Source organism: Homo sapiens, chromosome 2, assembly GCF_000001405.40.
Source record: "Homo sapiens chromosome 2, GRCh38.p14 Primary Assembly".
NCBI lineage: Eukaryota > Metazoa > Chordata > Mammalia > Primates > Hominidae > Homo > Homo sapiens.
The window spans coordinates 197,432,774-197,453,207 of NC_000002.12; the positions used below are offsets into that span (position 1 = coordinate 197,432,774).

The window sequence follows — 20,434 nt, forward strand, 5'->3', positions numbered from 1 at the left end:
GACAATCGCTTGAACCTAAAAGGCGGAGGTTGCTGTGAGCCGAGATTGCACCACTGCACTTCTGCCTGGGCAACAGAAAAAGACCCTATCTCAAAAAAAAATAAAAAATAAAAAAAGAAATGTTTGAAAGGAATATGACAGCAAAATAAATAAATAGTTATCAGTTTATCTCAATCTTGGAGCTAAGGAGAAGAGAAAATCTTAACACAACAGACTATTCTAAGCAATATAACATTTATACTGAGTACTATAGCAGCACTGCCCCAAAAAGCATTAATTCTGCTTCAGTTTATCAAAAATGGCTTAACAAGAGAAAACAGTGATGGACCATGAAGAACTAGAGTTCCATTAGGAAGGAAGCAACAAGCTATGTCAGTATTATGTGTATTTCTACTAAACATTTATCATCCCCTGACATATCCCATAGGGATGGGCACAGACAGTGCTCAAGTATTGAATGTTCTGCTATTTTCTTATGGTATCACTTAATTCACATTGATAGAATAATCTCAAAAATAACAAGTTTGGCCAATGAATAGCAATAGACCAAAGTTTTTAGCTGGGTTTCTAAAAAATTCAGGAAAACTGATCAGAATTCTGATTTTCCTGTCTGAGGGCATCTTATACTGAAGTTACCAATAAATAAGTATCAAAGCTATACTATCAATATCCCCAAATGAATAACATCCTGAATGAACAAAAACAGCACAACTTTATATTTTCTACTTACTTTGCAAAAGGTTATATTTGAGATAGTCTAAAGACAAAATAATAAAGCCTAGGAATACTAAGAGAGCATTTAAATCCTAAATACCTAAAATGGTATACTAATATTAAAGTCATTGACAATTCATTAGCATGTTTGATAAATAGCAGAAAGCTGGACTTCAGGTCCTCTGGGTGACCCAACTATTCAAAGCCATTCACATTCTGGTCCTAATCCAACCTTTCCAGATTCATTTATTTCTTCTCTACTTGCACCCTCTGTTCCTGCTACAGTGGACTACTACTCAAACACACCTTTCACGATTCAATACCTTGTTACAAGATGTTCTCAGGCTCAGATGTCCTTCCCGATTTAAAACTGACTGATCCTTTTAAAACACGGTCATGTAACCTCCTCAGTGAAACAACCCTAAACATAATCATTCCGTTACCCAGGTTCCCAGAACATGCTGCTTTTTCTTCTACTTAAGCATGCATCTGGCCTCATGAGAGAATGAGAACATACACATCTGTTTCTCCTATCAGACTGTAAAATTTTGGATGGCCTCAGTCTCTTACCTCTCACAGACTAATACCGAGCCAAATACCCAGAAAGAACATATGAAACAAAAGTGACTTAGAAGTCTCGTTCTCAGTGAAAATCTCGGATTCCAAGTCAGAAATCAAAGAATGCAGTTCCAACTTCTCATGCCTCGTCTTTTCTGAAAAGTGATCCCATTTTCTGTCATCTCTGGATACTTCCTAATGAACTCCAGTCTATTCCCAACGTTTTCCTAATTTGCACACTCTGTATTCCATAAAACGATCAACTAGCTTGAAAGCTTCGGCCATTAATGAAAGTAATTTATGTTTTCCTCTTCCATCTGCTCCTCCAATAACCAGTCTCCAAAGAAAAAGATCAATATTATACTAAAAGTGACTAAGGGAGGGAAAACAACTACCAGATTTTATCCCCAAATCGTTTCGTGCAAGAAAAATAAACAAGTAACTGACGCTTGAAGACACACAAGGGTAGGAGTAACGGAATCTCGGTTTAACCAAATTCGATTCAGTCTGCCGGAAAAGCGGCTGCCGTATTTCAGTGCTTTTCTGACCCTCTTCTGCACAAACTATGGGGACGACAGTGTCGAGAGGCGAGTGAGACCTTCTCCCCACGCCCGCTTCCCCGATCCCTTGCCCACGAATCCTACTGAGGAAGCCGCTTAAACGAGGCCCTCTGGTCAGAGAAGAGAAGCTACTCTGAAGTAGCAGGTCCCAAACACTGAACAAAGCGCCTGTCGGGGGTGTAAGAGGAGGACGCCATTACGCGGGGCAGTGGCCTGCGCCGCTGGCGCGGAGGAGACGACCCTTGGCCCCGAAACGCGGGCTCAGCTCCTACGAAAGAAACCATAGAAAAAGGCAGAATCCTAGGAAAAAAGGCTTTTATTAGGCTAGCAACGAAGAAAACACGTAAGCAGGGAAAGACCGCTTACCTTCGTGAGTCTTGGCGATCTTCGCCATTTTGTCCACTCGAACACACAGACGGAACTGGCGCTCCCAAGAACTTCCGCTCGTCGCCGCCGCCACGGAGAAAAATAGCTGGGGGCTGCACTCTGCGCGTGCGCCAAACGGGAGCGCGCTCCGTCGGGTGACACGTGACAGAACTGCCACCTAGAGGGAACCGCGAGGTGCATTGTGGGTGGGGGAGGAGACACGGTTGGGCCCTGAAGTCGCCTGCGTGGTGACCCAGGAAATCCCCGAGCCGAGCCGTAAGGTCCTTAAGTGAGTAACTTTGCCCTGGAGGAAAGTGGATTCTACGAAGGGAGTTAAGAACAGACACTGAGTCCCAGCAACTCTGGAGGCTGAGGCGGGAGCATCGCTTGAGCCCAGGAGTTCGAGGCAGCCGTGAGCCGTAATCGTGTCGCGCCACTGTACTCAAGCCTCCAGACCGGGCGACAGAGCAAGACCCCGAGACCCCTCCCATTAAAAAAAAATGAACACTGTACGAAACGCTGCGGTTTCAGAGCTGGAAGAGACCTCAGACATTCAATCCCTTTTCCCAAAATTCACTGGAAGAGCTCGAGGAAAACTTTCCCTTGCAGCTGTCTCAGTCTTTACAGTGCTTAGTTACGAAGACAGTCTTAACAGTCCCATCTTTCGCCCTGTAATTCAAGGTCATTTTTCATTCTTTCTGTTTAATAATTGCAAATAATTTGGGTAGGAATTTCGTTGAGCCTCACAAATCGTTGCTGAGTTGCACAGTGACAATCTTGCCACCCTTTTAAAGCCTTTTACTTTATGGGTTCCTAGAAAACCACTCATCGTCATTATTAACATTCATTAGATGTTTCTCTTAAATCCTAGACGGTATTCCTAAATCAGGAATTTTAATAGATCAGAATACGGCAGTCTGTTTTCCTGGGCATCAATTATAATATAACCTTGTACTGTCACACTGGTCTTTGACTTCGACGATGAAAAAGAAAGAAAGGCTCAGAAAGATGGGTCCCGGAAGCAGCCGAGGAAAACAGGTAGTTATCAAGGTTAGAGCCATCACAAAGAGAGGAGTACCTCGCTATGTGATAAACCTGCAACCCAAATACTAACCATACCATGGGTCAGTATGGTCGTTTGAAGGGAGGGAAATGGTATGGGTGTATTCCTCTTGCAGGAAGACCCCATATCTACTTTGGGTAAAGTGAGGAGCCATTTTCCTGAGGCTAGCGGTAGGTGGGAGATATATGGACAATGGCACTGGACTGAGAGCTTAGATAACCTGTCCCTGGTGACTCCTGACCTGCAGCCTTGCTCCCTCTTTCCCTCTCACCAGACTCCCTCCCTTCTTCAGATCAGGTGACACAAACGATTTTTTTTCTGTTTTTTTGACACACAGTCTTGGTTTGTTGCCCAAGCTGGAGGGCAGTGGTGCGATCACAGCTGACCCTAACTTCGACCTTAAGGTTCAAGAGACTCTCCTGCCTCAGTCTCCAGAGTAGCTAGTACCACCAACATGGGCCACCATACCCAGCTAATTTTTATTTTTTGTAGAATGAGATCTTACTATATTCCCCAGGCTGGTCTCAAACTCTTGGCCTCAAGCAGTCCTCCTGCCTCAGACTCCTAAAGTGCTGGGATTATAGGCGTGAGCCACCACAGATTTTTATTAGCATCAGTAAAGGAATAAATTTGATAAATTAAAATTTTTGGCCAGGCGTGGTGGCTCATGCCTGTAATCCCAGCACTTTGGGAGGCTGAGGCAGGCGGATCACAAGGTCAGGAGTTCAAAACTAGCCTGACCAACACAGTGAAACCCCATCTCTACTAAAAATACAAAAATTAGCCGGGCATGGTGGCACCTGCCTATAATCCCAGCTACTCAGGAGGCTGAGGCAAGAGAATCGCTTGAACCCAGGAGGCGGAGTTTGCAGTGAGCGGAGATAGTGCCACTGCACTCCAGCCTGGGCAACAGAGCGAGACTCCGTCTCAAAAAAAAAAAAGAAAAAAAGATGTGATGGTTAATTTTAAGTGTCAACTTGACTGGATTAAGGAATACCTAGAAACCTGGTAAAGCTATTTTGTGGTGTGTCTGTATGGGTGTTTCCAGAGATTAGCGTGTGAGTACAAGTGGGCTAGGTGGGGAAGATCGGCCCTCCGTGTGGCCAGGTACCATCCAGTCTGCTGGGGACCCCAGGAAGAACAGAAGCAGAGAAAAGGTGAAAATGTCAATTTATGTGCGAAGGCTGGCTACATCCAATCTTCCTCTATTGTTGTTTTTGGACAACGACCCCAAGCTGCTCAGCCTTTGGAATCCTGGATTTACACCAGCAGCACCCTATCCCCACCCCTTCCTCCTGGTTCTCAGGCCTTTGTCCTTGGACTGAGTTACATCATTGTCTTCGCTGATTCTAAACCTTGGGACTTGGACTGAGCTACCAGCATCTCAGGGCCTCTAGTTTGCAGATGGCCTGTCAAGGGACTTAGTCTCCAAAATTGCAGGAGCCAGTTTCCCTAATAAATCCCAATGTGATAGTTCTTATCCCACAGGCCCACTTTAGTTCAGTTTAGTTTTGCTTTGTTTTTAGAAATGGGGTCTTGCTCTGTTGCCCCAGCTGTAGTGCAGTGGCTCACTCCAGCCTCAAACTCCTGGGCTCTGGCGATCCTCCCAACTCAGCCTCCTGAGTAGCTAGGATTACAGGTGCACACCACCATGCCCAGCTACTTTTTAATTTTTTTTTTTTGAGACAGAGTCTTACTCTTTCACCCAAGCTGGAGTGCAGTGGCGTAATCTCAGCTCACTGTAACCTCTGCCTCCCTAGTAGCTGGGACCACAGATGTGTGCCACTACACCCAGCTAATTTTTTATTTTCAGTAGAGACAGGGCTTTGCCATGTTGGCCAAGCTGGTCTTGAACTCCTGGCCTCAAGTGACCCACCCACATCGACCTCCCAAAGTGCTGGGATTACAGGCGTGAGCCATCTCACCTGCCTACTTTTTAAATTTTTTGTAGAGACAGGGTCTTGCTATATTGCCCAGGCTAATCTCGAACACCTAGCCTCAAGCGATCTTCCCATCTGGGCCTCTCAAAGTGCTGGGATTACAGGCAGGAGCCCCTTAACCAACTTCGAGAACTTGGGAAATAAGATGTGGTGGGTTCTTGCCACCGTGAGCCAAACCTGGGTCAGAACTTCATGTGTGATCTGGCCCCTACATACACCCACTCTGATAGGATATTATGACACTTTGGATAACAATGTCGATTTGGACCTTGTGTCCCACAGGTCTTAAAATATTTGGTTATTCCACTTTTCCCAGTGTATAGTTACCAGAGCAAATGATAGTTCCCTTTGGAGAAGTATTAAGGGATCATTAACAAATACTAACAAAAAAAAGGAAAACAAAACAAACACTGTGGTGTTACACAGTCCTTCCTGGGGACCTAGCTTCTGCTTCAATTAGATGACCTGAACTCATTTCTAGATCTGAAAACTACCTTAGGTCTGGAAACTAGCTGAAGATCACTTTTTTTTTTAAATTGGGACAAGTGCCTTCAGCCTCCTAATGATTCATGTTTTATTTCTCTTGGTTGCACAGATTGAGCAGTACCCTTGTAGGCTGCCCATCAATCTTGCCTCTAAGGATACCCAGTTGTATGAATCATATATTTCTGCAGGTCAACCATTCTGACCTTATGCTAATTGTGACAATTGTGCCCACCTTGCTGCTGACAGTTAAGCATCACTAAAGTAGGAAATAGGGTCCAAACCGACACTACTTAAGGAGGGCAAGTAGTGATGGGACCTCATCATCCCATTGCTATCATGGAGCTCATCACTGTCACTGCATCTGCTGCTTTCACCTAAGGTCTGTAAAAGACAGCCACATTGGTGACAGTACCAAGCTGAGCTGTATCAGTGAAGTCAGAGGCAAACGGAAAAAGCAGTAATAGTGATTCTTTTTTTTCTGTTGTGTTTTTTGTTTTTTTTTTTTGAGACGGAGTCTTGCTCTGTTCCCCAGGCTAGAGTGCAGTGGCACGACCTTGGCTCGCTGCAACCTCTGCCTCCTGGGTTCAAGTGATTCTCCTGCCTCAGCCTCCCAAGTAGCTGGGACTACAGGCACATGCCACCACGCCCGGCTAATTTTTGTATTTTTAGTAGAGACGGGGTTTCACCATATTGGCCAGGCTGGTCTTGAACTCCTGACTTCGTGATTCAACCACCTCGGCCTCCTGAAGTGCTGGGATTACAGGCATGAGCCACTGCGCCCAGCCTAGGGCCATGCTACTCTTAATACTAATTCCTAGGTGGAGTGTGGTGGCTCACATCTATAATCCCAACAATTTGGGAGGCTGAGGTGCAGGGATTGCTTGAGACCAGGAGTTGGAGACCAACCTGGGCAACATAATGAGACTTTGTCTCAATTAAAATAAAAATCAGTCCTGGAGCTGTGGCTCACGCCTGTAATCCCAGCACTTTGGGAGGCCGAGGCGGGTGGATCACCTGAGGTCGGGAGTTTGAGACCAGCCTGACCAACATGGAGAAACCCCATCTCTACTAAAGATACAAAATTAGCCGGGTATGGTGGCACATGCCTGTAATCCCAGCTACTCGGGAGGCTGAGGCAGGAGAATTGCTTAAACCTGAGAGGCAGACGTTGCAGTGAGCCAAGATGGTACCATTGCACTCCAGCCTGGGCAACAAGAGCAAAACTCCATCTCAAAAAAATAAAATAATAAAATAAAATAAAAATCAGGTCAGGCGCGGTGGCTCACACCTGTAATCCCAGCACTTTGGGAGGCCAAGGTGGGTGGATCACTTGAGGTCAGGAGTTCAAGACCAGCCTGGCCAACATGGTGAAACTGTGTCTCTACTAAAAATGTAAAAATTAGCCAGGCATGGTGGCAGGCACCTGTAATCCCAGCTACTCGGGAGATTGAGGCACAAGAATTGCTTGAACCCGGGAGGCGGAGGTTGCAGTGAGCCGGGAGCATGCCACTGCACTCCAGCCTGGGCGAGCGAGACTCAGTCTCAAAACAAATAAATTAATTAATTAAATTAAAAATAAAAAATTTAAACAATATTTGAATTAGGGACAGTGTCTCATTATGTTGCCCAGGTTGGTCTTGAACTCCTGGGCTCAAGCGATCCACCTGCATCAGCCTCCCAAAGTCCTGGGATTACAAGTGTGAGCTACTATGCCCAGCAAATTATTTTTAAAGGAATCAAATATATATATGTGTGTGTGTGTGTGTGTGTGTGTGTGTGTGTTAAGTCCTTGTCCTGACCCTCAGCTTTTTCTACTCTCTGACAGCCAGAGATGAGACTCTTTATATACTGCCAAGGATGCCCTTCAGCTTTCACATTTAACCTACACTGGGGATTAATCACTCTCAACCTTTCGTTTTCTTTCTCCAGTATCTCTGTAGAAGCTATTAATGTTTCACCTACCACCAGTGAGAGAGTCCTCGTTGCTGGCTAGATAGCAGGTAATCCAGATCTAAAAATCACATTTTTGAATCTCCTTGGATAACTCTTGGATCCCAGTTGTCACAGGTTGGGTTGCCTTTGAAGCCAACTCTGAGATGAAGATCTGCATGCAAGAAGTTTGCAAGGATCTAGCCAAGCATGGTGGCTCATGCCTGTAATCCCAGCACATTGGAAGGCCGAGGCAGGAGGATCGCTTGAGCCTAGGAGTTTGAGACCAGCCTGGGCAACATAGTGAGACCCCTGTCTCTCTTAAAAACAAACAAAAAAAAAGTTTTTTAAAAAAAGAAGTTTGCAGCCAGGTGCAGTGGCTCACGCCTATAATCCAAGCACTTTAGGAGGCCGAGGCAGGCAGATCACTTGAGGTCAGGAGTTTTGAGAACAGCCTGGCCTACATGGCGAAACCCCGTTTCTACTAAAAATAAAAAAATTAGCTGGATGTGGCGGCGGGCACCTGTAATCCCAGCTACTGGGGAGGCTGAGGCAGGAGAATCACTTGAACCCAGGAGGCGGAGGTTGCAGTGAGCCGAGATCATGCCATTGCACTCCAGCCTGCACGACAAGGGTGAAACTCCCTCTGAAAAAAAGAAAAAAAAAGCTGGGCGTGGTGGCTCACGCCTGTAATCCCAGCACTTTGGGAGTACAAGGAGGGCAGATTATGAGGTCAGGAGATCGAGACCATCCAGGCTAACACAGTGAAACCCTGTCTTTGCTAAAAATACAAAAAATTAGCTGGGTGTGGTGGCGGGCGCCTGTAGTACCAGCTACTCAGGAGGCTGAGGCAGGAGAATGGCGTGAACCCCGGAGGCAGAGCTTGCATTGAACTGAGATCGCGCCACTACACTCCAGCCTGGGCGACAGAGCAAGACTCTGTCTCAAAAAAAAAAAAAAAGAAGTTTGCATGCAAGATTCCTGTGAGGATCCACACCTGTGGGAGAGTAAAGGCAGCAGGTTGGGCAAAGGAGGAAGTTGAACTGCCACTCAGTTACAACAAAGACCTAAACCAATGATGGAGGAACTCTGGTGATGAGATGTCCCTTCAGAGTTGTCATGAATTGAGGTAAAGGGGTTGGAACTTTATACTCCCATATCAACAAGAATTTGGATCTTGGCTTCCACAGGAGGAGGGAAGAGGCAGCTCTCTTTTAGCCACAAGCAATCCCCAGAGAGGGATGCATTGGAGAGCTGTTACCCACAGAACTCCCAACAGCTCTAGTATTACGGGAAGGGGAAGGAATCCGGGCAGCCCACCATAGCATCCTCTACAGGTGTCCAAAAGTGCCTTCCATGAGATGGACAATGATACAGAAATAGAGTAGATGGTGACACTGTGCCCTAGGGATCTAAACCTTAAAGAAGTTTGGGTTTTCTGGCTGGGCGCAGTGGCTTATGCCTGTAATCCCAGCACTTTGGGAAGCCAAGGCGGGCGGTTCACAAGGTCAGGAGATCGAGACCATCATGGCCAACATGGTGAAACCCCGTCTGTACTAAAAATACAAAAATTAGCCAGGCGTGTGATGGCATGCGGCTGTAGTCCCAGCAACTCAGGAGGCTGAGGCAGGAGAGTTGCTTGAACCTGGGAGGTGGAGGCTGCAGTGAGTCGAGGTCGCACCACTGTACTCCAGCCTGGGTGACAGAGCGAGACTGTCTCAAAAAAAAAAAAAAAGTTTTGGTAAGGTGGGTATATTATGATCCAAGAGAAGTAGTGAAGAGTGAAGGAGACATTAGTCCTGTTCTCTTGGCCTTGAAGTACTTGGGTAGCAAGGGTTATCAAACACCCCCTTTTTTAATTTTTTTGAGATGGAGTCTTACTCTGTCTCCCAGGCTAGAGTGCAGTAGCACGACCTTGGCTCACTGCAACCTCTGCCTCCCGGGTTCAAGCAATTCTCCTGCCTCAGCCTCCTGAGTAGCTGGGACTATAAGCCAGCACCACCACACCCAGCTAATTTTTGTATTTTTAGTGGAGATGAGGTTTCACCATGTTGGCCAGGATGGTCTCGATTTCCTGACCTCTTGAGCCACTGGGATTACAGACATAGGCCACTGTGCCTGGCCAAACACCCCTTTCTTTCTTGGAATGGTGATTAATTGAAAATAATTTTGAATGTACTGTTTTCTTTATGGCAGTTTATCAATGGCTATGCTTCTCCAGGAGCCTCTAAGTGTGAAAGTGGGGTTGGAGGAAGAGTGCAGCATGCTGTGTGTGTGTGTGTGTGTGTGTGTGTGTGTGTGTGTGTGAACCTCCTTTCCCTCCCACTAACGCAGTGATTCTCAAACTCTAAGGGCATCCCCTGAAGAGCTTCTTAAAATTATAGGTTGTGGGCCCAAACTCCAGAGATTGATTGAGTAGGTTTGAAGTGGAGCCCAAGTGCTGATAATTCTCTACAGGTGGCCAACTTTGAGAAGTGTGCGATCTCAAAGCCTCTTTTCTCAGCTATGTTTGAATTCTGGGAGAAGGCAGACAGGTCTCCAGTGTTCTATGGTCAGAAGAAAGAAACGTATCCAAATATTCAACAGCATGTGTGATCTGTCACCCCCGCTACTCACCCCAGTGTGAAAATGTGCCTATGGTTGAGAAAGAATAAGCAGCCTCGTATGAGAGAGGAAGCACAGGGCAGCTTCACAGGGTGCCACGAGTCAGCCAAGGAAATTGTTCTGAACCCTGTAAGACACATGACCCCCTCCACTCTCCTGAAATAAAATTCATAGAGAATAGAATCTGATCACACAGGTAATTTTGAAAAATATCAATTAATGCCCCAACTGAAATATAAAAGGAGAAATCAGAGGGAAAAAAATGCTTATAACAAAAGATGTATTTTGAGGATTTGGGAAGTTTATAAATCACAGATTAGGGGTTCCAGAAGGCACAAAGGGAAGGTTTGAGAGAAAAAAGTTAGTGGAAAGGAAGCAGTGAGCTGTATAGTAATGAGGATAAACAGGAGAATGACTATTGGAGGGGCTTTTAATTTAGATGGCAAGAATAACAAGTGGGGATATCTGGCTATTAGATTATCATTAACATATGTGGTCTCAGGAATTCTCAGGTGAGTGCAGAAAGAGGTAAGTGAACACCCGGGCCATAATCTATAATGCGACAGCAATCTCCAACCCATGGGCTATAGCTGGCTGCCACACCTCCCTTTTCGTGTGGTAAAATATATATAATATAAAATATGCATTTTAAATATTTTAAGTGTACAATTCAGTGGCATTAATTACATTCAAACTGTTAATACGACTATCACCACTACCTCTATCCAAATTTTTTTTTTATCACCCCAACCGAAACTCTGGGATCATTAAGCAATAACTTCCCATTTTCCCCTTTTCACTTAACTCCTTGTAACCTCTAATCTACTCCTGCAGTGAGATTTCCTGGATAGGGTAACACCAGATCAGTCTTATAGATGAGGTAAAAATGATGAAGGAGATGGGGGCAAGAATAGGACACAGGACCCTCTAGAAAAAGAGGACAATGTAGGCAACAGACACCATAGTGTCTGTAGGGGACCTCAAAGCAGTTCTTTGTGGCTAAGTGCCATAGTATGTGGCAGGAAGCTGCAAAAGAGGAATTCTAGGATTGGCTCAGAGGCTGGTTATATAAACAGGAAGAATCTGTTTCCTTGATCTACTCTGAGTTCCCTGAAATAAGAATTTCTGAATCCCAGCACTTTGGGAGGCCGAGGTGGGCAGATCACGAGGTCAGGAGATTGAGACCATCCTGGCTAACACGGTGAAACCCCGTCTCTACTAAAAAAATACAAAAAAAAAAATAGCCGGGTGTGGTGGTGGGCACCTGTAGTCCCAGCTACTCCGGAGGCTGAGGCACGAGAATGGCGTGAACCCGGGAAGCGGAGCTTGCAGTGAGCCAAGATCGCGCCACTGCACTCCAGCCTGGGTGACAGAGCCTGGGTGACGTCTCAAAAAAAAAAAAAAAAAAAAGAATTTCTGTATCTGGAAAGCTAAGTATGTTGTCATCCTTTGTGGCCCTGCCTAGATAATTATCTTATTTTCTGCTGAAATTTCTAGTTTTGGCTTACTTAAATTGAATTATTTTATTTTATTTTTATTTTCTTTGAGGTGGAGTCTGGCTGTGTCAACCAGGCTGGAGTGCAGTGGCACGATCTCAGCTCACTGCAACCTCCACCTCCCAGGTTCAAGCGATTCTCCTGCCTCAGCCTCCTGAGTAGCTGAGATTACAGGCGCCCACCACCAAGCCTGGGTAATTTTTGTATTTTTAGTAGAGATGGGGTTTCACCATGTTGGCTAGGCTGTTCTCAAACTCCTGACCTCAGGTGATCTGCCTGCCGCAGCCTCCCAAAGTGCTGGGATTACAGGTGTGAGCCACCACACCTGACCTGAATTGAATTTTTTTTTTTTCTCGAAATGGAGTCTTGCTCTGTCGCCAGGCTGGAGTGCAGTGGCACGATCTTGGCTCACTGCAACCTCTGCCTCCCAGGTTCAAGTGATTCTCCTGCCTCAGCCTCTCAAGTAGCTGGGACTACAGGCGCATGCCACCATGCCCAGCTAATTTTTTGTATTTTTAATAGAGATGGGGTTTCACCGTGTTAGCCAGGATGGTCTTGATCTCCTGACCTGGTGATCCGCCTGTCTCGGCCTCCCAAAGTGCTGGGATTACAGGCTTGAGCCACCGCGCCCAGCTTGAATTGAATTGTTTTTAAAAAATAATTCTAATATGATAGTATTACAAGGTTGCTGCTACATTTTTCAAGAAGTCATATAAATTATAAAAGCATCCTGACTCAGATTCAGAAGATGTGGATTTTCTTGCTGGCTCTGCTGCTTTCTAGTTTGTGCAAGTTACTTAATATCCCTAAAGCTCAGTTGCCTAAGGTCTTAGTAAATGTGTACTGAAGGATTTAAATAAAACAAGGCTTCATCACACCTTCCCAGATGCACCAATACCAGCCAGTGCTTCCTCCGCAGAAATCTGAGTACCAGGTTTGTGGTGCTTGGGGATAGAGGGTTTGTCTCTTCTATGCTTCCTAGACACTAGCATCAGCCAAGCAATGTCCTCGCCTCAAAGATCTGGGTTCTAGCATTGTGAGAATCTGCCACCAAGTTTCTAATGATAACTCCCAACTTCTTCCTTTTGTTCCCCTGCCCCTAGAGGTATGTGCAGAAAAGTGTTAGGCCTGACTGCTGTCCTTTGAAAGACCTCCTTATAGGTTTGTCCTTGGCTGGCATTTGGTAACTGGGTTTTCAGAAGGGTTCCCGTCATTCACAGAACTGATGAGTGTGTCTCACTGTGCCTATGCACAGTGTATTGTTTGCATAAACCATATGGTTTCTGCTGAACACCATTTTGGAGTCTGGAATTTGGGTACATACCAGGCAGAGAGGATGCTTATGTGAGCAGGCCCCCATAAAAACCTTGAGCCTTGAGTCTCTAAGGAGCTACTGTGGTTGGCAATATTTCACATGTGTTGTCACAACTCCTTGCTGGACTAATTAAGCATTTCCTCTGTGACTCCATGACTTCACTGGGAGAGGACCCTTGAAAGATTGCTCATGGCTTCCTCCAGATTCCTAACATGGACCTTTATCCTTGCTAATTTTGCTTTCTATACTTTTCCTGTCATAAATCATAGCTGTGAGTATAAATATATGCTGAGTCCTGTGAGTCCTTTTAGCAAATCATTGTACCCGGGAATGATCTTGGGGACACAAGGTGATACCTACTTCTTGAAGTTAACTGTTTTCTTATCTCAGTATTCCCTTTTATGTTTTTGTATTGTGGGGTTTTAAAAATTTATTTATTTTTTGTTTTTTATTTTTTTTGAGACAGGGAGTCTTGCTCTGTCACCCAGGCTGGAATACAGTGGTGCAATCTTGGCTCACTGCAACCTCCGCCTCCCAGGTTTGAGCAATTCCCTGCCTCAGCCTCCAGACTAGCTGGGATTACAGGCGCCCGCCACCAGGCCCAGCTAATTTTTGTATTTTTAGTAGAGACGGGGTTTCACCATCTTGGCCAGGCTGGTCTTGAACTCCTGACCTCGTGGTCCACCCACCTCGGCCTCCCAAGTGCTGGGACTACAGGTGTGAGCCACTGCACCTGGCCTTGTTTTTGTATTGTTTTTGTTGTTTTGACACAGGGTCTCACTCTGTGACCCAGGCTGGAGTGCAGTGGTGTGATGTTGACTTACTGCAACCTATACCTCCTGGGTTCAAGTGATTCTCCCACCTCAGCCTCCCAAGTAGCTGGGACTACAGGTGCACATTACCATGCCTTGCTAATTTTTGTATTTGTAGAGATGAGGTCTCACAATGTTGCCCACGCTGGTCTCGAACTCCTGGGCTCAAGTGATCCACCTGAGTCAGCCTCCCAAAGTGCTAGGATTACAGGCATGAGCCACCATGTCCAACCTCTCCTTTTTTGGGGGGGGGGGTCAACTTAATTCCACAAACCCTTTTAAACAATATCCCTATGTTTTCTGTTTAATTGGTATAATTTCTGTTTTCCTGATGCTCCCTAAGCAGCATCACCAGTCAGTAAGGGCAAAATGCCTAGTTAATGTCCTTTGCTATTCCCCTGTTTATCAGAAACTAACATATGTAATAGGGCTAATCTCTTGTAACTCAGTTGCAAGAGGTGTTCAAGGAAGTTGCTCTTTAACAAGGAAGGTGGTGTTTAAACCAAACACTTCCCACAGACAGTCTCTATTTTTGTTTTGTTTTTGAAATGGAATCTCACTGATTGCCCAGGCTGGTCTTGAACTCCTGGCCTAAAGTGATTCTCCCTCCTAGGTCTTCCAAAGTGCTGGCATTACAGGCGTGAGCCACCACACCCATTAAATATGGTAGAGAAGCCAAGGCGCAGTGGCTTACGCCTGTAATCCCACCACTTTGGGAGGCCGAGGGGGGCGGATCACCTGAGGTCGGGAGTTTGGGACCAGCCTGACCAACATAGAGAAACCCCGTCTCTACTAAAAATACAAAATTAGCTGGGCGTGGTGGCGCATGCCTGTAATCCCAGCTACTCGGGAGGCTGAGGTAGGAGAATCACTTGAATCTGGGAGGTAGAGGTTGTGGTCAGCCAAGATCGCGCCATTGCACTCCAGCCTGGGCAACAAGAGCAAAACTCGAAAAAAAAAAAAAAAAGTAGACAGAAAAGGTGCCAGTAATACGATTATGTTAACTTTTAAAACTAACTTTATTTCAGGAAAAAAATATATATGATGTTTAGGTAAAGATCTTGTTCTGTGGTTAAAATTCATCCTGTATTTGTTTTGATTGGAGGAGTGACTAAAAGTGCTGTTACTGTGCTCGCCTCAGCAGCACATATACTAAAATTGGAACAATACAGAGGAGATTAGCATGGCCCCTCTGCAAGGATGACATGCAAATCTGTGAAGTGTTCCATATTTTTATAAAAATAACAGAAAAAAGAAAACAATGCTGTTACTACTAGAAATCATTGCCATCTCTATCTACTCGAAGACTTTCTGGTTCTGTTCAGTCTATAGGGTTCCGAAGAGTGAGCAAAATCTATAATAAACAGTATGATTCTAAGTGGAAATCAATCAGGAGGATTTCATTTGGAAAAATCACATAAAGGCAGAAATAAAAAGGTACAGAAAAAATGTTTTATTATGGAAGATTTCAAACATCCACAAAAATTAGATATGACTATGAAGAACTCCCCATGTACCCATCATTCAGTTCACTGATTATCAATATAAGCTTAATTTTGTTTCATCCACTGTATTCCCCCAACCCCTTTTGGGTTATTTTAAAGCAAAGCACAGACATCATATTTCATCTGTAAATACTTCTGTATGAATATCTGAGATAAAGATTCATTTAAATAAGGTAAATACACCTACAATTTTTTAAAAATTTAAAACTTTTTTTTTTTTTGAGACAAGAGTGTCACATTCTCGCCCAGGCTGGAGTGCAGTGGCGCCATCTCGGCTCACTGCAAGCTCCGCCTCCCGGGTTCACGCCATTCTCCTGCCTCAGCCTCCCGAGTAGCTGGGACTACAGGCGCCCGCCACCATGCCCGGTAATTTTTTTTTTTTTTTGTATTTTTAGTAGAGAGAGGGTTTCACTATGTTAGCCAGGATGGTCTCGATCTCCTGACCTCATGATCCGCCCACCTCAGCCTCCCAAAGTGCTGGGATTACAGGTATGAGCCACCATGCTCAGCCTAAAAAATGAAAAACTTTTATTTATTTATTTTTTTAGGGACAGTATCTCACTCTGTCGCCCAGGCTAGAGTGCAGTGGTGCTATCCTAGGTCACTGCAGACTCCAACTCCTGGATTCAAGTGATCCTCACATCTCGGTCTCCCAAAGTGCTGGGATTACAGGCATGAGCCAACTGCACCCAGCCTTAATAATTTTTTTTTTTTGAGACAGGGTCTCGCTGTGTCACCCAAGCTGGAGTGCACAATCCCGGCTCACTGCAACCTCTGCCTTCCGGGTTCAAGCATTCCTCCTGCCTCAGCCTCCTGAGTAGCTGGGATTACAGACACGAGCCACCACCCCCAACTAATTTTTGTATTTTTAGTAGAGATGGGGTCTTACCATGTTGGCCAGGCTGGTCTCGAACTCTTGACCTCATGATCCACCTGCCTTGGCCTCCCAAAGTGTGGGATTACAGGTGTGAGCCACCGTGCCCAGCCTCTCTACCATAGAGCTTAACTTTTAGCACATTCAAGAAGTATTCACAAAATAAAGTATATACAATTTAAAATTTAGTTGCTCAAAAAAGATGTCATCGCCGGGCGTGGTGGCTCATGCCTGTAATCTTAGCACTTTGGGAGGCCGAGGCAGGCAGATCACCTGAGGTCAGGAGTTTGAGACCAGCCTCAACATGGAGAAACCCCGTCTCTACTAAAAATATAAAATTAGCCAGTCATGGTTGTGCATGCCTGTAATCCCAGCTACTCGGGAGGCTGAGGCAGGAGAATTGCTTGAACTAGGGAGGCGGAGGTTGCGGTGAGCCGAGATTGCGCCATTGCACTCCAGCCTGGGCAACAAGAGTGAGACTCGGTCTCAAAAAAAAAAAAAGGCATCATATAGACAGTAGGGCAAAGTACCCACGTAAAAAGATTAGTTCTATGATTACAGTGAATTTGACATCAACCAGTAAATGTGTTTATAATCGTAACACAGTCCTTACTAACAATGTAATCAAGGCTTTTTTTTTTTTTTGAGACCGCGTTTTGCTCTTGTTACCCAGATTGGAGTGCAATGGCACGATCTCAGCTCACCGCAACCTCCACCTCCCGGGTTCAAGTGATTCTCCTGCCTCAGCCTCCCGAGTAGCTGGGATTACAGGCATGCGCCACCACACCTGGCTAATTTTTGTATTTTTAGTAGAGACAGGGTTTCTCCATGTTGGTCAGGCTGGTCTCAAACTCCTGACCTCTTGATCCACTCGCCTCTGCCTCCCAAAGTGTTGGGATTACAGGCATGAGCCACTGCACCCGGCCAAAAATTTCTTAAAATCATCTAGTATCCAGCTTTCAAATTTCTTAGTCTCATATACCTTTTTTTAATATTTAGTTTGTGCAAAAGAAAATCAAAATAAAGCCTTTTACATCTTTTAAATCTACAACTGTCTCCCCCTTCCCTTCCTTTTTTACTTGATATTTACTCACTGAAGAAACTGGGTGACTTGTCTTATAGAATTTCCTGCATTCTGGAGTTGGCAGATAGTGTCCCCTTGGTGTCATTTAACATGTTCTTTTCTTTTTGGTTTGAATCAAGGTCTCACTCTGTCACCCAGGCTGGAATGCAGTGGAATGATCACAGCTCATTGCAATCTCAAACTTCTGGGCTCAAGTGATCCTCTTGCTCAGCCTCCCCAGTAGCTGGGACTACAGGCGTGTACCACCATGCCCAGCTAATTTAAAACATTTTTTTTGTAGAGATGGGGTCTCGCCATGTTGCCAAGGCTGGTCTCAAACTCCTGGCCTCAAGCGACCCTCCTGCCTCAGCATTCCAAAGTGTTGCGATTTCAGGCATGAGCTACTGTCCCTGGCCTGAAAATGTGCTTTAAAGAAGACCTTACTGGAATACTGGAAATATTTAAGATTTAAAGAAGAGCAAGTGAGAGGTGACAACGTGCTGGCAGCCCTCGCTTGCTCTTGGCGCCGCCTCAGCGTCCGCTCTGGCCACACTCCAGGAGCCCTTCAGCCTGCCGCTGCGCTATAAGGGCCCCTCCCTGGGGCTGGCCGAGGCAGGAGCCGGCTCTCTCTGCTCGCCGGGAGGTGTGGAGGGAGAGGCACAGGTGGGAGCCAGGGCTGCGCGTGGTGCTCGTGGGCTGGCACGGGTTCTGGGTGGGCATGGGGTCGGCCGGCCCCGCACTCGGCGCGGCCGGCGCCTTCTGGGCTTGATCCAGGGACGAGCTCCCTCTGGGCTGCCAGAGTGCCTAGGCTAGGTGCTGCAGAGACCCCGGGAGTACCAGTGAGAGGTGAAGCCGGCTGGACTTCCGGGATGGGTGGGGACTTGGAGAACTTTTCTGTCTAGCTAAAGGTTTGTAAACGCACCAATCAGCACTTTGTGTCTAGCTAAAGGATTGTAAATGCACCAATTAGCACTCTGTGTCTAGCTCAAGGTTTGTAAACGCACCACTCAGAACCCTGTGAAAACGGACCAATCAGCTCTCTGTAAAATGGACCAATCAGCAGGCTGTGGGTGGGGTCCGCTAAGGGAATAAAAGCAGGCTGCCTGAGCTAGCAGCAGCAACTCTCTGGGTTCACCTTGCATGTTGTGGAAGGTTTGTTCTTTTGCTCTTTGCAATAAATCTTGCTGCTGCTCACTCATTGAGTCTGTGCCACCTTTAAGACCTGTAAGAGTCACCACGAAGGTCTGCAGCTTCACTCCTGAAGCCTGGGAGACCACAAACCCACCGGGAGGGATAAACAACTCCAGATGCGCTGCCTTTAAGAGCTGTAATGCTGCAAAGGTCTGCAGCTTCACTCCTGAAGTCAGTGAGACCACAAACCCACCAGAAGGAAGAAACTCCAGACACGTCTGAAAGTCAGAAGGAGTGAACTTGGGACACACCATCTTTAAAAACTGTAACACTCACAAGTGAGGGTCCGTGGCTTCATTCTTGAAGTCAGCAAGACCAAGAACCCACCAATTCCGGACATACAAGGATTGTGTATTTGAAAGTAGTTGATACAGAATTGTCCATGCAGCTACAGAACCACCTCAATCTACAAGTACATCATGTGTTGTACTGCAAAATGTTTGACAAACCTTGTAGCTGATGATTTCAATGTATCTAGTAAGGGGTGACTGCAATAAACCAAGCAAGAGGAGAAAATAATCATAGGCACAACAGCTGGAATATTGCTTTAAATGTAAATCAGATCAAGTAACTGTTCTGCACTCAAACTCTAATGGCTTTCCTTCACGCTTAGAATACAATAAAAAATTGGTAGCATACTATGGCTTCCGTGGCACTAAGCTCTGCCTACCTCGCTGACCTTATTTCCTACCACTTTCCTCCTCTCACTGTGCTCCAAACTCCTTGCTCTTCCTAAAGCATGCCAAGATTGTTCCTGCCTGGGGCCTCTGCACTTGCTGTTCCATACACCTGAAAGTCATTTTCTTTTTCTTTTTTCTTTTTTTTTTTTTTTTTTTTTTTTTGAGACGGAGTCTCGCTGTCGCCCAGGCTGGAGTGCAGTGGCGCAATCTCGGCTCACTGCAGGCTCCGCCCCCTGGGGTTCACGCCATTCTCCTGCCTCAGCCTCCTGAGTAGCTGGGACTACAGGCGCCCGCCACCTCGCCCGGCTAATTTTTTGTATTTTTAGTAGAGACGGGGTTTCACCGTGTTAGCCAGGATGGTCTCGATCTCCTGACCTCGTGATCCGCCCGCCTCGGCCTCCCAAAGTGCTGGGATTACAGGCGTGAGCCACCGCGCCCGGCCCATTTTCTCCCAAGTAATCAGAGTTCACTTCCTCACTTCATTTTAGGCCTTTGTTCAGTGTCATCCTCTTAGAGCCCCTCCTAACCACCCTATATAAAACAGCACCCTACCATATTCCTCCCTCTTCATCTCCTTACCCTGCTGTACTGTTTAGTCTATGGGACATATAACAAGCTGCCATTGCACTATATACTAATTGGTTTCTTTCCCCCACTAGGATATAAGCTCTGTGACAGTGAAGACTTTTGCTCACTTCTCCAGCATCTAGTAGGTGCCACACAAATATCTGACTACATTTAATCAACAATCTCATTTACACCCAAACTATATTAAATAGGTAGTATTGTCATCCTCACTTTACAGTTTGCAGGAAAACTATTGGTGCACAAACCTTAAGTAAAGACCTGAAAACAAACTGAGGGAACAAGAAGTCTGGACTTGATGACTGATCACCAAAACAAGTAAATCAAAGCGAAGTCGTCTGATTAGTATGGAATAAGGGAAACCCAAATCATACGAGAACACCAATTAAAATGTGGGACACGCAGGAAGAAGGCAGACGGAACTGCTGCTGGATAACTGAGTCTTTCCTAATGACAGGACCTTATGTTGCCCTCACAATTACCCCGTGAGATAGGCAAGGCAGGCATTGTATTAGACAATCATTAACAAGCAGGACGCTGACAGCCAGGCTTCGCAGCCAGGAGTGGTGGCCTGTCTGGCTCCGCACTCACGGGTTCGGACAGTTACAGAATTAACACTCAAGCCCTGGGGCTTCCCGCAGCCCCCGGGGGGGTGGGGCTCACTGACTAGCCTCCCGGAAGCGGACCCCAGGA

General features: G+C 45.9%; 1 protein-coding gene and 1 pseudogene across 5 annotated transcripts in view, besides 7 other annotated features; one reads left to right on the forward strand and one right to left on the reverse strand.

Moving 5' to 3' along the window:
* Nucleotides 1–2,320, reverse strand: part of SF3B1 (splicing factor 3b subunit 1) — a 45,310-nt gene extending 42,990 nt beyond the window's left edge. For 4 of the 5 annotated variants that reach the window (XM_047443840.1, XM_047443841.1, NM_001005526.2 and 1 more), the window contains exon 1: nt 2,199–2,320. In XM_047443840.1, coding sequence (XP_047299796.1) covers nt 2,199–2,226 — 28 coding nt within the window. In that variant the 5' untranslated portion in view covers nt 2,227–2,320. The remainder of the gene's footprint in view (nt 1–2,198) is intronic. The other variant, NM_012433.4, reaches the window with a different exon arrangement.
* Nucleotides 1,592–2,138: an enhancer, noted in NCBI's record as "NANOG-H3K27ac-H3K4me1 hESC enhancer chr2:198299089-198299635 (GRCh37/hg19 assembly coordinates)". NCBI's record gives its function as "activates a minimal SCP1, AML or CMV promoter by ChIP-STARR-seq in naive H9 embryonic stem cells {active_cell/tissue: H9 hESC(naive)}" and the evidence as "EXISTENCE:reporter gene assay evidence [ECO:0000049][PMID:30033119]".
* Nucleotides 1,592–3,082: a biological region, named in NCBI's record as "BRD4-independent group 4 enhancer GRCh37_chr2:198299380-198300579".
* Nucleotides 1,883–3,082: an enhancer, noted in NCBI's record as "BRD4-independent group 4 enhancer chr2:198299380-198300579 (GRCh37/hg19 assembly coordinates)". NCBI's record gives its function as "activates an origin of replication core promoter dependent on BRD2, P300/CBP, MED14 and CDK7 cofactors, and independent of BRD4, by STARR-seq in HCT116 cells {active_cell/tissue: HCT116}" and the evidence as "EXISTENCE:reporter gene assay evidence [ECO:0000049][PMID:35650434]".
* Nucleotides 2,324–2,633: an enhancer, noted in NCBI's record as "active region_16932". NCBI's record gives its function as "activates an Ori minimal core promoter by ATAC-STARR-seq in GM12878 lymphoblastoid cells {active_cell/tissue: GM12878}" and the evidence as "EXISTENCE:reporter gene assay evidence [ECO:0000049][PMID:35858748]".
* Nucleotides 2,654–2,703: an enhancer, noted in NCBI's record as "active region_16933". NCBI's record gives its function as "activates an Ori minimal core promoter by ATAC-STARR-seq in GM12878 lymphoblastoid cells {active_cell/tissue: GM12878}" and the evidence as "EXISTENCE:reporter gene assay evidence [ECO:0000049][PMID:35858748]".
* On the forward strand, nt 14,972–15,078 carry RNU6-1029P (RNA, U6 small nuclear 1029, pseudogene; annotated as a pseudogene).
* Nucleotides 20,182–20,231: an enhancer, noted in NCBI's record as "active region_16934". NCBI's record gives its function as "activates an Ori minimal core promoter by ATAC-STARR-seq in GM12878 lymphoblastoid cells {active_cell/tissue: GM12878}" and the evidence as "EXISTENCE:reporter gene assay evidence [ECO:0000049][PMID:35858748]".
* Nucleotides 20,312–20,381: an enhancer, noted in NCBI's record as "active region_16935". NCBI's record gives its function as "activates an Ori minimal core promoter by ATAC-STARR-seq in GM12878 lymphoblastoid cells {active_cell/tissue: GM12878}" and the evidence as "EXISTENCE:reporter gene assay evidence [ECO:0000049][PMID:35858748]".